The 15,850-nt window shown below is 46.9% G+C and overlaps 1 protein-coding gene across 1 annotated transcript in view; it reads left to right on the top strand.

Moving 5' to 3' along the window:
- Nucleotides 1-15,850, top strand: part of SHC3 (SHC adaptor protein 3) — a 173,048-nt gene that overhangs the window by 115,208 nt on the left and 41,990 nt on the right. The window contains exon 7 of the mRNA NM_016848.6: nucleotides 11,448-11,574. Within this exon, the coding sequence (NP_058544.3) occupies nucleotides 11,448-11,574 (127 nt within the window). The remainder of the gene's footprint in view (nucleotides 1-11,447; nucleotides 11,575-15,850) is intronic.

Below are 15,850 nucleotides of genomic sequence, written 5' to 3'. Positions count from 1 at the left end.
TAGAGGCTCAGCCCTCTCCATGGAGTCTCAGAGACTCTCCAAGTGGCCCCTTCATCCCTCTGGGAAGTAGGGCTTTCTGTATGGCAGCTCTAGGTTCCATGAGACCCAGAGTAGATGTGTCCAGTGCTCTGAAAGGCCGGGCTAAGCTTCACTTCTGCCATAGATTTACTAGTCACAGCTGTCAGCCAGGTGTGGTGGCTCACGCCTGTAATCCCAACACTTTGGGAGGCCGAGGCGGGCAGATCATGAGGTCAGAAGACCGAAACCAGCCTGGCCGACATGGTGAAACCCCATCTCTACTAAAAATACAAAAATTAGCTGGGCGTGGTGGTGCACACCTATAGTCCTAGCTACTTGGGAGGCTGAGGCAGAAGAATCGCTTGAACCTGGGACACAGAGGTTGCAGTGAGCCGAGATCGCACCACTGCACTCCAGCCTGGCGACAGAGCGAGACTCCGTCTCAAAAAAAAAGCTGTCACAGCCAGCTCAGACTCAAGGGGGAAGGAAGCCACATGTACCCTTCAAGGAAAGAATGTCAAGGAATTTGCAGCCATCTTTACCCCTCAACCCTGCTTTCACCATGTGTGAGGAGGCCCAGCCTACCGGATGACAGTGTGGGCAGGGAGGGTGGATCTAACTGCATCCCTCCAGCAGCCCAGCTATGAGCATGTTCTGCTCCATCTCATCAGTGTCCTTACCAGGATGACTTCCTCCATGAAGGAGCCAGTGGCAGGGCTTTCTCCCAACTGCTCTGTTTTCTTTCTTCCTCCCCTATGCCATGTACAGGGGTTAATTTAGGAAGATTGGCCTCTACCACTGGGCAGAGTAGCAAGAAATTCTGGGTGTGAATGTTCTTATTTGGGCTCTTAAAAGTCCCCACACTGGGGCTTCTAGCCCTCTGTGTATGAGCAGACCTTGTAGTGTTGTGGCTGCAGGCACAGCCCCTAAAGACCATCAGGGACAGAATGCATCCCAGAAAGTCTTCTGTAAAATTTTACAGTTACGGGTTCAAGTCCCTCGATGCTGTTACTGTTTGTCTTTTTCCGTGCTGATTCTTGCTTCTATATTCTTATATGTGTTTGTGGTTAATCTAGAATAATTCTAATGAGAATCTATATTTGTCTCTCTGGTATCAAGAATCCATGGCTTCTATAGTTAATCCAGTGAAAGGACAAAAGGTTCCTGACCCAAGTCATTAAGTTGGATGGTAACCACCACCACCACCATCTCAAAGAGATAAGGGTGGAAAATGAGCCATGTCTCACAAGGTTGATAAATTATAGCTAAAAGTCAGGACCATAGGAGGCCTAGGTGATGACTACTGGCACCTGTAGGGATGCAATTCCCAACAAGTCAGGCTTTGCTAAATTCTAACATATCATTTTCTTTTTACATTGGAACTTTCATTACTACCGGGTGACTCCCATGCCCTGCAACCTTATGTATATATTAGACAGTTCCAAATGGACTGTTTAGGTCACAAAAGTAGCTACCAAATGATGCTCAAATTAGGCATACGACTGCCTACAGAAGGCATGTAATTCGTATACTTTATAATTGTAATAGTATCCCTGATCAGGCGCCCTCTGGTACTCCCTGAACCAAGACATGGAAAGTTGTTTCCTATATAGTAGTTCCCCCTTATCTGTGGGGGTATATTCCATCCAAGTCCCCCAGTGGATGCCTGGAACCACAAATAGCACCAAATCCTACACATACTATGTTTTTTTGATCTGATAACTGAGTCAGCTACTAAGTGAGTGCCAGGCATGTAGCATATGCAGTGCGAATACTTGGGACAGAGCGAGGATTCACGTCCTGAGAAGGACTGGACAGGATGGCATGAGATTCCATCACACTACTCACTCAGAATGGCGTGCAATTTAAAACTTATGAACTGTAAATTTCAGAAATTTTCCATTTATTGTTTTTGGACTGAGGTTGACCATGGGTAACTGAAACTGTGGAAGGCACAAACTTCGGATAAACCGTGATGACTATGCTTAGGTGCTGCTGACCCAATGGGAGAGAAGCCTACATATCCAGCCTGAACAGCGGCTCCTAAGACATCTTGCTGCTCTTTTCCCAAGATTTTCTGGAGAACAGGAGGTCTTAGGAGTGAGTGGGCTTGAGTGGGAAGCCCACATGGGGAAGACAATGCTTCACACAGCCAAGCTTGCCTCTTCTGGGCTTCTCGAATATGGTGGTTTCAACAAAAGGAGTTTCTGTTTCCTTTGGCCCTGGACTGCTGTAGGCCCCAAGAGGTGACTTTCTAAAAGAGGCCTTAAATATTTTGAACTCATTGGTGGAAGTAACACAGCACTGCTTCTAACTTTTCTTTCCCTTGGCAGCAAAGCCTCAAGTGTATAATGGGTGAAAGCAATGGCTTATTTTTTTTAACCAGGTGGTTAAATATGCCATCGAATGACACTGTGGCAGGAGGTGAATTTTCTGATGGTTGGATGTTTCCCACATTTGGCTATTATGAGCAGTGTTTTTACAAACAAAGCCAGGCTCTGTGCTTTACGTACCATGCCTGGGCTGAGAATGCTGAACATATTTTTCCAGCCCTGGCCTCTGCCTGAAAGCCAGCTCTGTGTCTCCACTTGGGAGTCTCACAGGCCTCTCAAACATAGGCAGACACAGATAGGTCCAGCACTTTCCTCCTGAAGAGCACCTGCTGGTTTCTATCAACCGCAACCCCTTCCCGACTTCCCCAGTTCTCTGCCTTCTTTCCTTCACCTGCACCTGCCGGCAAAGCCTTCCATCTTACCAGTTCTTGCCACTGCCCTGCTGCCCCCTGACAGGCTCCATAATTAATCATCAGTCACTCTGTGCCCGCTCTTCCACTCTAAAGTTTTTTGTCCACATGGCAGACAGAAGGATCCTTTTAAAATGATGCAATCTTGTTCCTTCTCTGCTCACTCCAAATAAAATGTCCCATTCCCCCAACACCCACAGGACCTTCTGTGAGCTCACTCCCACTCCATCCCGTCTCACTTCCTATGATCCCCTCTCCCTGCCACTCCAGCTACACTGGCTTCTGGGTCTTCCTTGACCCTGACCGTGCCAAGCAAGCTCTTGCCTCCTGGGCCCTGTGCCTGCCTTCTACCACCGGCCTTCCTGGACTTCTCTCCCTGACTCGCTTCAGGTATCTTCTCCAGTGCCGCCTCTAGGGCCACCTCCCCTGATCATCCTGTGTACCATCCTACACCAAGCATCTTCCAGCATATCTTCCACCACCATCCTCCACCACGTCCTCTACCATGTCCTCCACGACTGTCCTACACCACGTCCTCTACCACGTACTACACCACTGTCCTCTGCCACTGTCCTCCACCATGTCCTCCACCACATCCTCTACCTTGTCCTCCATCACCGTCCTCCACCACATCCTCCACCACCACCCTCCACCACGTCCTACACCATGTCCTCCACCACATCCTCCACCACCGCCCTCCACCACCGCCCTCCACCACGTCCTACACCATTGTCCTCCACCACATCCTCCACCACCTCCTAACACCATCATCCTCTGCTACTGTCATCTACCATGTCCTCCACCACGTCCTAACACCACCATCTTCCACCACATCCTCCACCACCATCCTCCACCATGTCCACCACTAAATCCTCCACCATCGTCCTCCACTGCGTCCTTCACTATGTCCTCCACCACATCCTATATGACATCCTCCACCACTGTCCTACACCACCATCCTCTGCAACGTCCTCCACCACCATCCTCCACCACCATCCTCCACCACATCCTATATGACATCCTCCACCACTGTCCTACACCACCATCCTCCACAACGTCCTCCACCACCATCCTCCACCACCATCCTCCACCACCATCCTCCACCACGTCCTCCACCACCGTCCTGCACCACCATCCTCCACCATGTCCTCCACCACCATCCTCCACCACCATCCTCCACCACGTCCTCCACCACCATCCTCCATCACGTCCTCCACCACGTCCTCCACCACCGCCCTGCACCACGTCCTACACCATGTCCTCCACCACATCCTCCACCACGTCCTCCACCACCACCCTCCACCACATCCTACACCACTGTCCTCCACCACATCCTCCACCACGTCCTAACACTATCATCCTCTGCTACCGCCCCCCACCATGTCCTCCCCCACGTCCTAACACCACTGTCCTCCACCATGTCCACCACTAAATCCTCCACCATCATCCTCTACTGCATCCTCCACTACGTCCTCCACCGCATCCTCCACTACATCCTCCACCACCGTCCTCCACCACCATCCTCCACAACGTCCTCCACCACCGTCCTCCACCATGTCCTCCACCACATCTTCTACAATGTCCTCCACCACCATCCTCCACCACATCCTATATCACATCCTCCACCACCATCCTCCACCACCGTCCTCCACCACTGTCCTCCACCATGTCCTACACCACGGTCCTCCACCACCATCCTCCACCACATCCTCCACCACCGTCCTCCACCACATCCTCCACCACCATCCTCCACCACCATCCTCCATCACGTCCTTTACCACGTCCTCCACCACCGCCCTCCACCACATCCTCCACCACGTTCTCCACCACCGCCCTCCATCATGTCCTACACCACCGTCCTCCACCATGTCCTTCACTACTGTCCTCCACCATGTCTTCCACCACGTCCTCTACCACGTCCTAACACCACCATCCTCCACCACGTCCTTCACTACTGTCCTCCACCATGTCTTCCACCACGTCCTCCACCACGTCCTAACACCACCATCCTCCACCACTGTCCTCCACCATGTCTTCTACAATGTCCTCCACCACCATCCTCCACCACATCCTATATCACATCCTCCACCACCATCCTCCACCACCGCCCTTCACCATGTCCTACACCACTGTCCTCCTCCACGTCCTCCACCACCGCCCTCCATCACATCCTACACCACCATCCTCCACCACATCTTCTGCTACTGTCCTCCACCATGTCCTCCACCACGTCCTCCACCACGTCCTAACACCACCATCCTCCACCACATCCTCCACCAGCATCCTCCACCATGTACACCTCCACCATGTAAATCCTCCATCATTGTCCTCCACCGCATCCTCCACTACATCCTCCACCACTGTCCTCCATCATCATCCTCCACCACCATCCTCCACCATCATCCTCCACCACCATCCTCCACCACATCCTATACCACATCCTCCACCACTGTCCTCCACCACATCCTATGCCACCATCCTCCACCACGTCCTACGCCACCATCCTCTACCACCGTCCTCCACCATGTCCTCCACCACCATCCTCCACTGCATCCTCCACCACCGTCCTCCACCACCATCTTCCACCACGTCCTATGCCACTATCCTCTACCACCATCCTCCACCATGTCCTCCACCACCATCCTCCATCTTCTTTGTTTTACATTGTCTTCCTTGCTGTGTTCATTTCCTAGGGCTGTTATAATAAAATGTCACAAACTAGGTGGCCTGAAACAACAGAAATTGATTCTTTCACCATTCTGGAAGCCAGGAGTCTGAAGTCAGGCAACAGCAGAGCCATGCTCTAGGGGAGACTCCTTCCAGCTTCTTGTGGCCCAGCCATTCTTTGGCTTGTGGCAGCATCAGTCCTCTCTCTGCCTCCCCTTCCTATATGTTTGGGCCCCTCTTCTCATCTATTATAAGGACACTTGTCCTTGGATTTAGAGCCCTCCCTAATCCAGGATAATCTCATCTCGAGATCCTTAACTTAACCACACCTGTAAAAACTCTTTTCCACAGGTTCCAGATGGTCAGGGGGCATGACTTTTGCGGGGAGGAGGGCACCCTTCAATCCACTACAGAGGTATATTTTTATTTATTTATTTTCAGTGTCCACTGAAACTCTCCCTAGATCCTAGGGCAGGGCCTTGTGCACAGTAGATGCTCAAAAAATGTCTGCTAAATAAAGTCTTCAGTAAATATTTTGTATATGTTTTTTTTTGTGCTCTCGTCCAGGAATTTCCCTAGGCTATGTACCTGGAGGCCAAATCACTGTTTTGGACATCCTCAACTTTTCTGAAATGGTCATTTTACTTTATAATTCCAAGGGTAGTATATGAAGTCTCCTTTTATTCAACAATTGGCATTTTTAGACTTTTAAATTCCCACAAATCTGATGGGTGCAAAATGCTATACCCTTATTACTTTAATTTGCCCTATCTGGGGCTAGGACATGTACTGAGAAACTCATCATAGCAGGGTGGCTGAATGTTGGATTTCTTACTCTTCTCTGATTAAAAAAAAAAAAAAAAAAAAGAAAAAGGAAAACTGGATCAATTCAGAGTGCATGGCTACATTGAATAAACAAACTAAGGTTGTCTGACCAGTCAGAGATTGAGGAGCCCTCGTCTCTCTGGTAGAATTCATTCGTTTTTGATATTCCTTTTAAGGTGTGTGGGTTATCAGCTCACTAAGATGAAAAGACAGCCGTCCTTGTTGAGCAGGACATTTCCTCATTTGAGTAATGACTTCGAATATCTCCAAGGTTCCCCATGCCCTGGCCAGCTGCTCTGGAATGTGGCTGGATCAGAGGCTACTGGTGTCTGGATCAGCAGCCACTGGAGAACCCCAGATGGACTGTGGGAGCCAAGCCACCCTGGAGAGGCTGATGGACAGCACCTGGGACCCATGAAGTGTGAGGCTGGGGTGTGGCTTCCTGAAAGTGGGGCATGGATCCCGATAAGTTTTTTGCCTTGGCTTGGGCAGGGTCTCGCTGTTCACACAAAGCTTGCCGAGGCAATGGCCTATGCCAGAAGTGTGCAAACAGCCCACTGTGTGGGACATGAAGGCTGGAGCATTGGCTCACAGTTCTAATCTGGAAACAGGACGATCTTAGCCCGTAATAGCAGAGGAAGGGCAGGATGGCTGCACAGCAGGCAGGGCTCTCTGCTGCCAGCCCATGTGCTGGGATGTGGGGTGAGCGGCGAAGCAAAGTGGGTTCTCAGCTGTGTGAACTAGTTTTAACTGAACTAAACCTCTTGGAGAGAAACTGTACATTAGGGATTACACCCATCATGGCAGCTCAAACAAATAAGAAAGAAATGGAAGAGGTGGGTGGGTATGGTGGCTCATGTCTGTAATCCCAGCACTTTATCACTTGAGGCCAGGAGTTCGAGACCAGCTTGGTCAACATGGTGAAACCCTATCTCTACTAAAAATTAGCTGTGTGTGGTGGTGGGTGCCCGTAATCCCACCTACTCGGGAGGCTGAGGCAGGAGAATGGCTTGAACCCAGGAGGCTGAGGTTGCAGTGAGCCAAGATCGCGCCATTGCACTCCAGCCTGGGCGACAAGAGTGAAACTCCATCTCAAAAAAAGAAAAAGAAAAAGAAAAGAAATGGAAGAGCTGATAACATTTACTTCCATTTTGAAAACTTCACAGGCTGCATTTCACAGTAAAAACACTGATCATCTATTCATATAAGATAAGAAATCAGCCCTTCCACATTCAAGATGATTAAGAAATGTACCTCCAGGATGGAAAGATGAATTTTTATCCATCATAATAACAATAGATCACACCTAATGTGGTTGTGTCTTGAGATACTGACTGACAGAGTAATGCTTTCACGGCTAACAAGACAGCTTAAATTTTTATTTTTCTCTTTATTGCATCCTTTTTGAAGACAAAAGATATCTTTTAAAAGATGTTTTTATGATACACATAATATTAATACAGGAATGCACGTTAATAATTTACAAATAGACACTTATTGGGGATGCATGGTTGGAAAGTTCTTTGTGGTAGGCATGAGTGAGAAGCAGCATGGATAACTGTGACTTAGAGAAGGGATTCAGTGGGTGTGATGGGCATTCCTAATATCCTGCTCTCCTATCCTTCCAAACTTGCAAAAGATGGCATCTGCCAGCCCCCTCCTGCTTGGGAGAAGCCCATGACAGTTCTGTGTGACGGGCTAAGAGCAGAACAGAAGGTGCATTTGGTTCTGGTGCAAGGCCCTGCTGTCTGTTTCTTCTGCAGATTGTGGGAAAGGCCTTGCGTTGAGTTGCAAGATCAAAAGATCAAACCAGCCTGGGCCACTGAGGCACCACAAGAGGATGGCTGCCTTAGAGAGGTGCCCAGAAATGAGTAAGCAAGAATGAAATGGTTGATTTCAGCCAGAGACGTTGGGATTGTTTCTTACTGTGGCATAACTTGCCCACCCTGACTCACAGAATAGGTGTCACAGGTAGGGTGTTGAGAGCGTGCTTAGATGAACAAGCCTCACACCAGTTTACTGGATGCCCTGTTGCAGCAGGCAGATGGCCGGGGGCCAGTCCTGAGCGCCAAGCCGGGAGCAGCTACTAGCCTCTGGGCTTATTTGGGGAGAGGAGGAAGCTGAGAACTGGAAGTCTGGTGGATTGGGATGCATCTAGGTACTGCCTTCTCATTCACCACTGTTAACCATTCTTCAGGGAGCGGGAGATGTGAGTGGACATGCCAGGAGCTACCATATGGCTGAAAGCCACCACATCCCCAGCTACTACAGTGTGACTACAGAGCCACAATACATTCCTAAGGGAGTGGTTTGCTTTCAAGTTGCCCATCTCAGTTATGGAGTAGTCCTTGTGATGTGAGCTCTTGAAAGTCCCTTTGCTGATGTCATGGCTCAGGTGGCTGCTCCGGGGCAGCTTGGGCTAGTGCTCTTAGAGAGTGGCTTCAGCTTTTTTTATTGGCGGGGCAAAATAAGAGAGAAACCAGTGTCAGCAAAGGATCCCTGCTTTTAAGTAAATGAACTATTGCAGGCTGTTGGTACGAGTTTCCCCAGTGGGCAGTTTCCTCAAATGAGGACTGTGGAATTCCCTGTCTTGCTGACCTTGTTTACATTGAGCTATGTTTTAGATTTTGCGTCATTTGGAATCTCGATTCTGTGCACGAATGGGCTGCATACCTCTCTTGGTTTCTTCTCCATTGTTTGTGAATGACATCTTTGGTTTTGTTGTTTCCTCAGGGAGAGGTGAAGCCCAGCAGGCTGGATGACTGCCTTTGGGGAAGGCCTCATTATTTAGTGCACACATCAAATCACACAGGGCAGGCTAGAAGATTGTGGCTTTTGGCTAAGTGTCAATACTCTCAGAAGAAATACCAGGCCCAGAGAGACAAAGTCCAGGTTTAACTGGTTTTGGAGTGAGTTTCTGGAACATGTAGAGGCCATTTTATAGAAGGAATCCTCAGACCAAAGCAACAGGTGACTTGTTTTCTCCATTCATTGAGGACTCTGCCAGGTGCCAGGAGCTGCAGGCATGAGTTAATTCCCGAGAGTCCATGGGTCTACTCACAATCTGCAGGGCCTGCCCCCGAGTTAGTCACTTGGAGTAACATGCCCATTTCTCAGCATGCTAGAGTGCTTTTACCTCAAGCCCTGACCTGCTCCACATGTCCTGGACCTTTCCCACAGAGGCCCCTTCCCAGGCTTCATGCTCTCAGGTGTGTAGAAGGTTAGTAGCATGTGGATGAGATTGTACAGCCCACTCTCAGTAAATCGTATTCTTCGTTCTTCATCTTAAAGGCTAGGATACCTATTTTCTCCTTAAAAAAAACAGGCTACCCTTTCTGACCCTTTTCCAGTCTTTTTTCTCATTCTCCAAAACACCGACCAACCAGTCCTGTTGGCTGGTGCTGATGCTGGACAGCAGGGCCGGGAGGGGCGTGGCACAGGACAGGTCAGGGGAACGAGGTGTCTCACTGGCTTTCCCTTGCTCAGGCCTGGACTCCTACTTCCTTCTTAGCTGGAAAGATGGTTGCATTTGTATCAGTCAGTGACCTGCACAACTGTAACAGCTGCTTGGCATTGCTTTGTGACTACCTGGGGGCAATGCTTAGTAAATAATAATGTCAATACTAAAATAATATCAATAATTGATCATCAGAAGACAACCAGGATGTCTGAACCTTTGTAGACACATCTCTTGGCAATATCTAAAATAACACTGCCGTATCCAAGGGGTTGCATTGCCCCCCAAAGCAGAAATACATTTGTACTTGCTCTTCCGAGGAAATACATTTCCTGTGTCCACAGAAGTCTCCCTGCCCTGGAGTCTGGGAGAGAAGGAGCTGAGGCCCCAGGGCCTAGCTGGCTGCCTCCGGGGTAAAGTCCCAGTGCCGTATTATGCTGAGAGGCTCCACACTGTGCAGAGGCATCCGTGTCTGTCTCTCTGTCCCCTCCCTGACAGCTTTCATCTTTCCAGTATGTACTGGCTTCTCCTATAGGGAGGGCACAGTTCAGTGTCTCCCTAATCACTGCCAGGGCTGGGGAACAACAACTCATGAAGAAATGCATCCTCCTCACTGCAGGGACCAACGCGGCTTTTGGAGGAACCCTCCTTGGCATACGATTGTCGGCAGGAGAATGGTGGGGTGTGATGAAGGCAGCTGTCATCCTTCCCAGGAATTCCTGAGAATTCCTTTATCCCATTGGTAAAAAGATCATGCTAGGCTCCTCATGGCGACAGCCCTGTGGCTCCTTCAGGAGGGACATGTGGACGCTTATGGTAGGGCACGGTGGAAGTGGGTCTGGAGAGTAGAGGTATTTTCCAGTACCCTGGAGAAAAAGTACTACTTCCTTATGAGGCAGAGGCTGGCCCTCTTTTCTCTGAAGGTTTCACATAGATAATCCTGCAGCCTTGCCACTAGGACATCATGTCCTTGTGTAACAGCTGGTGCCTGCTTCAAGCATAAGGACTGCTCCAGGCCTTACCACCAGGCCTCATTTTGGCCTACCGCCACCCCTAACTTTTATCTACTCTTTACACAAGCTGCTTTTCTGAGAATCTGCATGAATAACCAGTCTCAAATTTACGTAGATGCATGTGTCATGTTATTGGCATGGTCACACTGATAATTAATATCTCTTTATATTCATCTTCAAAGGTTTCCTTATTGTTTTGAGTGGCCACATATGGTGATCAACACTTTACCCCCACTAAGAAGCAAGTGAACTACTTGCTCTAAGTCCACTGAATAAATCAAGATTCACTCAACAGATGCTGGTTTCAGTCCATTTTTTAAGGCCTCATGGGTTTGAAGGGACCTAGTTCATGTCGAGATCAGGCTCTTTGTCGTGCTGAAGTCTCCTTCTAAACAATTTTTCCCTATTGATGTCAGAATTGATGCTTTATAGACTAAAGAAATTGAAGAACATCAAATTGAACTTGAAAAATCTTTAATTTATTTAAAAATGAAACCTATAATTTTGTAGACAATAGGCTATTAAGAAATGCATGCCTATTGTGAGATGTTATAGCTGTAGGATTCCCTACCTGGAGATAAAGCTGTGGTTGGATCTGCTAGGACATATTATGGAAGAAGCATGCACCTCTCTGTCCCTGTGTCCTCAGCAAGGGCTCTTTGTAGAGGAGCCCAGGTAGCACCAGTGTCTGTCTCTAATAGGCCCATGTCACTTGCTTTCCCAGCTTGTCACATTTTGGAATGCTGTGATGGGCTGGCCCAGGATGTCATCGGCTCCATCGGACAAGCCTTTGAGCTCCGGTTTAAGCAATATTTACAGTGTCCTACCAAGATTCCCGCTCTCCATGATCGGTGAGTAGTGCTGTGACACCATTTGCAATAGCCTATGTGGGTTTTATGACCTTTCCTCTTAAAACCACATCCCTGAGCTGTGTTCTGGACAGGCACAATTAATCACAGGGCTTCCTGGGCTCAGAGACACCTGGTCGGTGCTGGGATATGGCACAGAAAGCCAACAGATGGAAGCCAACATATGGATGATGCTTTGAATGTGTAGAAAAACATTTTCTTGAAACTATAGTGACGGTCGCCAAGGTTACAGAAAAGCGACTTCATTATAAATTTTTTTGTTCTGTTTCCTCTGCAGCCATGTGATGGTTCCATATGTCACCTCTTTGGGTCTATGTTACCACCGGTTCTGTGTGTCCCATTGTCCTTGTCGTTACGATTAGCCAAAGTCGTGCTACAAGAGGTCCCCTCCGTGAGGCACTGTGCTGGCTACCGGCATAGTTTCGGCTTCGCTGGCCTTTGCAGCTTAACAGCTTGGTAGTTTGTTTACCTTCCAGGTGGCCCTGAGCAAGTTCTGTAAACTCCTTGAGTCTCAGCAGCTTTATCTGTGAAGTAGGAATAAGAATGGCACCTTAGGTTTTTTTTTCAGTGTTTAACAAAATAGTGAGTGTGAAGAGGAATTGGGAGATGTTTAGTTTATTATAAAAAATGTTCAGGTTCTATCACTGAGTTTCCTTAGGATGTAAGAATATTCCATACAGCATCAAGCATTAAAAGAAAAGTAATATGGGGCATATTGGTCATTCAGTATTCTGTCCTTGATTGAACTTGCATAATGAAAATCTATTCTAATGTTGTGATCGCTAGAAACAAAACTTTACTGTTCCTAAATTTACTCTATACTTTTTTCAAACTTCTAAAGCCACATTCTTCTATGCCTTAGTTCTAGAGTCAGACTCTACCTTTGTTCTTATGATTATGAAGACTTCTTTCATCTCCCTTCTCAGTCTTTGCCGTTCTTCAAAGAGACTTTTCATTTCTTTTCCTCTTTCCCTGGAAAATTCCGTTTAAGACATTCATTTTGGAGGTGCCTCTGCAGGACCCACCATTTCCACATTGCTAGAAACTTCACTCCAGAGGCTGAAAATGCTAGAATTCAATTCTCCCTTATGGCCATCATATTAAAAAAAAAAAAAGAACGAAAGAAACTTCAGCAAGCTGGGACAGGAGGATGTGTATAGAAGAGTTAGAGGCAGACAGTGACAGCAACCCAAATGTAGGTAGGAGACTGAGGAAACAAATTTTTTATTTTGTGTATAATGGGACATAGTAGTTAATAAGAATTCACCAATATACATGTACTACCAGCATAAATCTCAAAATTTATAATGAAATAAAAAAGAGCAAGTTACAAAAGGATATGAACCATTTATGAAAATTTTGAAAACATAAATGATTGCATATATAGTATATGGATAAATAAATGTATGGAAAGACTATAAAAACATACACAAGGCCGGGCACAGTGGCTCACACCTGTAATCTCAGTACTTTGGGAGGCCAAGGCGGGTGGATCACCTGAGGTCAGGAGTTCAAGACCAGCCTGGCCAACAGAGTGAAATCCCGTCTCTACTAAAAATACAAAAATTAGTTGGGCATGGTGATGCATGTCTGTAGTCCCACATACTTGGGAAGCTGAGGCAGGAGAATCACTTGAACTCGGGAGGTGGCGGTTGCAGTAAGCTGAGATTGTGCTGCTGCACTCCAGCCTGGGTGACAAAGCAAGACTCCATCTCAGAAAATCAAACACACAAACAACAACAAAAAAATGCAAAAATGCTATACACAACTCCAGGATATCTGAAGACAGGACAGAGGTGTGGGTAAATGGGTTGCATTTGACTGTATTTGTCAAGCATATACCCCCTACACCATTTTATAATAAAAATGTTCCAATATACACAAAGAACTGTATAGACAACATCTAGCTTCTACCATTAACATTTTACTTATAATATCACATATCTATGTATCCATCCAACGTAAGTTTGACAAATTTTATTAAAAAGGGAAGCATGTAATTGATAAAAGAAAAATTTCAGCCGAATTAAATTTAAAGGAGTTTAATTGAGCAATAAACAATTCCCAAACAGAGCAGCCTCCCAGCCAGAGTAGACTCGGTGACTCCAGGGCAGCCACGTAGTGGAAGAAGATTTATGGAGAGAAAAAGGAAAATGACTTACAGAAAATGGAAGTGAGGTTCAGAAATAGCTGGATTGGTTACAGCTCGGCGTTTGCCTTATTTGAACACAGTTGGAACAGTTGGCCGCATTTGATTGGCCAAAACTCGGTGATTGGCACAAGAGTAGGCTACAGTCTGTTTACACCTCCACTTGTATAGTTCAGGATTTACAGAGAAACCTTTAGGCCAAATTTAAATACGTAAGGAGGTAGCTTTAGGCTAAACTTGATTTAACATAATAGATCAAAAGGTTAACACTTATTTAATCTCCATGGGGGATGCATAAGTATATTTCATATTAATTATTATGCTAGCCTTTGTTTCTGAAATGTTGAATAAAAGCCAAATAAATGCTATTAAGATAATACACACAAAAATGAATGGAGGGAGTTAGTTTAACTACCATACTTCTCTGGCAGTGTACATAATGTATGAAGTTCTGTATGTGTTTGTATGTAGTGAAGTTTGAAGGACTTTTGGGGAAAGAAAATGTAGTAGACAGGATCTTATCCACTGAGAAAAATGTCGCCTCCAAATGCAAGTATTGGCATATCATTTCTGGTTTTGTTTTGTTTTGTTTTGTTTTGTTTTGTTTTTAAGAGGGAGTCTGGCTCTGTCACTCAGGCTGGAGTGCAGTGGCGCGATCTTGGCTCACTGCAAGCTCCACCTACCGGGTTCGCGCCATTCTCCTGCCTCAGCCTCCTGAGTAGCTGGGACTACAGGCGCCTGCCACCACGCCCGGCTAATTTTTTGTATTTTTAGTAGAGATGGGATTTCACCGTGTTAGCCAGGATGGTATCGATCTCCTGACCTCGTGATCCGCCCCTCTCGGCCTCCCAAAGTGCTGGGATTACAGGCGTAAATCACCGTGCCCGGCCGGCATATCATTTCTAAAGCAGAGCAGTGACAAGGGGCCCTGCCTGTAGCTTCATACTGTCGGTGACCTGACACCCCCCTCACCTTATCCTGCAGAGGCTCCTGGTGTCCCGCAGGGTACTATCCGAGAGCGGGGTGACGGGGATCTCCTGAGCTTGCCCTGCCTTCCGTTTCAGCTCCGCTCCTCCAGCAGGGTGCAGCCTGGGAACATGAGAGAACCCACACTGCATCCAGCTGTTCCAGCCCCATTCTCTGGGGACACTGAAAAACAAATCAGATGCCACTAAGACTCCATTTATTATTATTTTTAAAATTGATAATTCATATATAATCAAATTGCTCTTTTAAAGTTTACAGTTCAGTTGATTTGTTATATTCAAAAGTACAATTATCACCATTAATTCCAGAACGTTTTCATTACCCCCCAAAGAAACTCTATACTCATCAGCAATTACTCCCCATTCTCCACTCCCCACTCTTCCACCAACCACTAATCTACTTTCTGTCTCTATGGATTTGCCCATTCTGGACATTTCATATAAATGGAATCATACTGTATGTATCTGGCTTCTTTCACTTAGAAGAATGTTTTCAAGATTCACTCATGTTGTAGGATCTGTCAGTATTTCTTTCATTTTAGAGTTCTTAATAATATTTGAGTGTATAGGTATATGACCTTTTGTTCATCCAGTCATTAGTTTATGGACAGTTGGGTACTTCTACCTTTTTTTTTTTTTTTTAATGGAGTCTTACTCCATTGCCCAGGCTGGAATGCAGTGGCACGATCTCAGCTCACTGCAACATCCACCTCCCGGGTTCAAGCAATTCTCTCGTCTCAGCCTCCCGAGTAGCTGGAACTACAGGTGTGTGCCACCACGCCTGGCTAATTTTTGTATTTTTAGTAGAGACAGGGTTTCACCATATTGCTCAGGCTGGTCTTGAACTCCTGACCTCATGATCTGCCCGCCTTGGCCTCCCAAAATGCTGGGATTACAGGCATCAGCCACTGCGCCCGGCCCTACCTTTTAGCTCTTATGAACAATGCTACTGTAAAGATGTATACAAGTTTCCTTATGGACATATGTTTCAATATTCTTATGTATATACCTGGGAGTGAAATTCTGTGGTCATATGGTTATGCTGAAACTGCAAAGCTATTTTCTAAAGTGGCTGCACCATTTTACAGTCCCATGAGCAATGTGTGAGGGTTCTAATATCCCC

The sequence above is a fragment of the Homo sapiens genome, chromosome 9, assembly GCF_000001405.40.
Source record: "Homo sapiens chromosome 9, GRCh38.p14 Primary Assembly".
Classification (NCBI taxonomy): Eukaryota; Metazoa; Chordata; class Mammalia; order Primates; family Hominidae; genus Homo; species Homo sapiens.
This window is presented reverse-complemented; position numbering and strand designations above follow the sequence as displayed.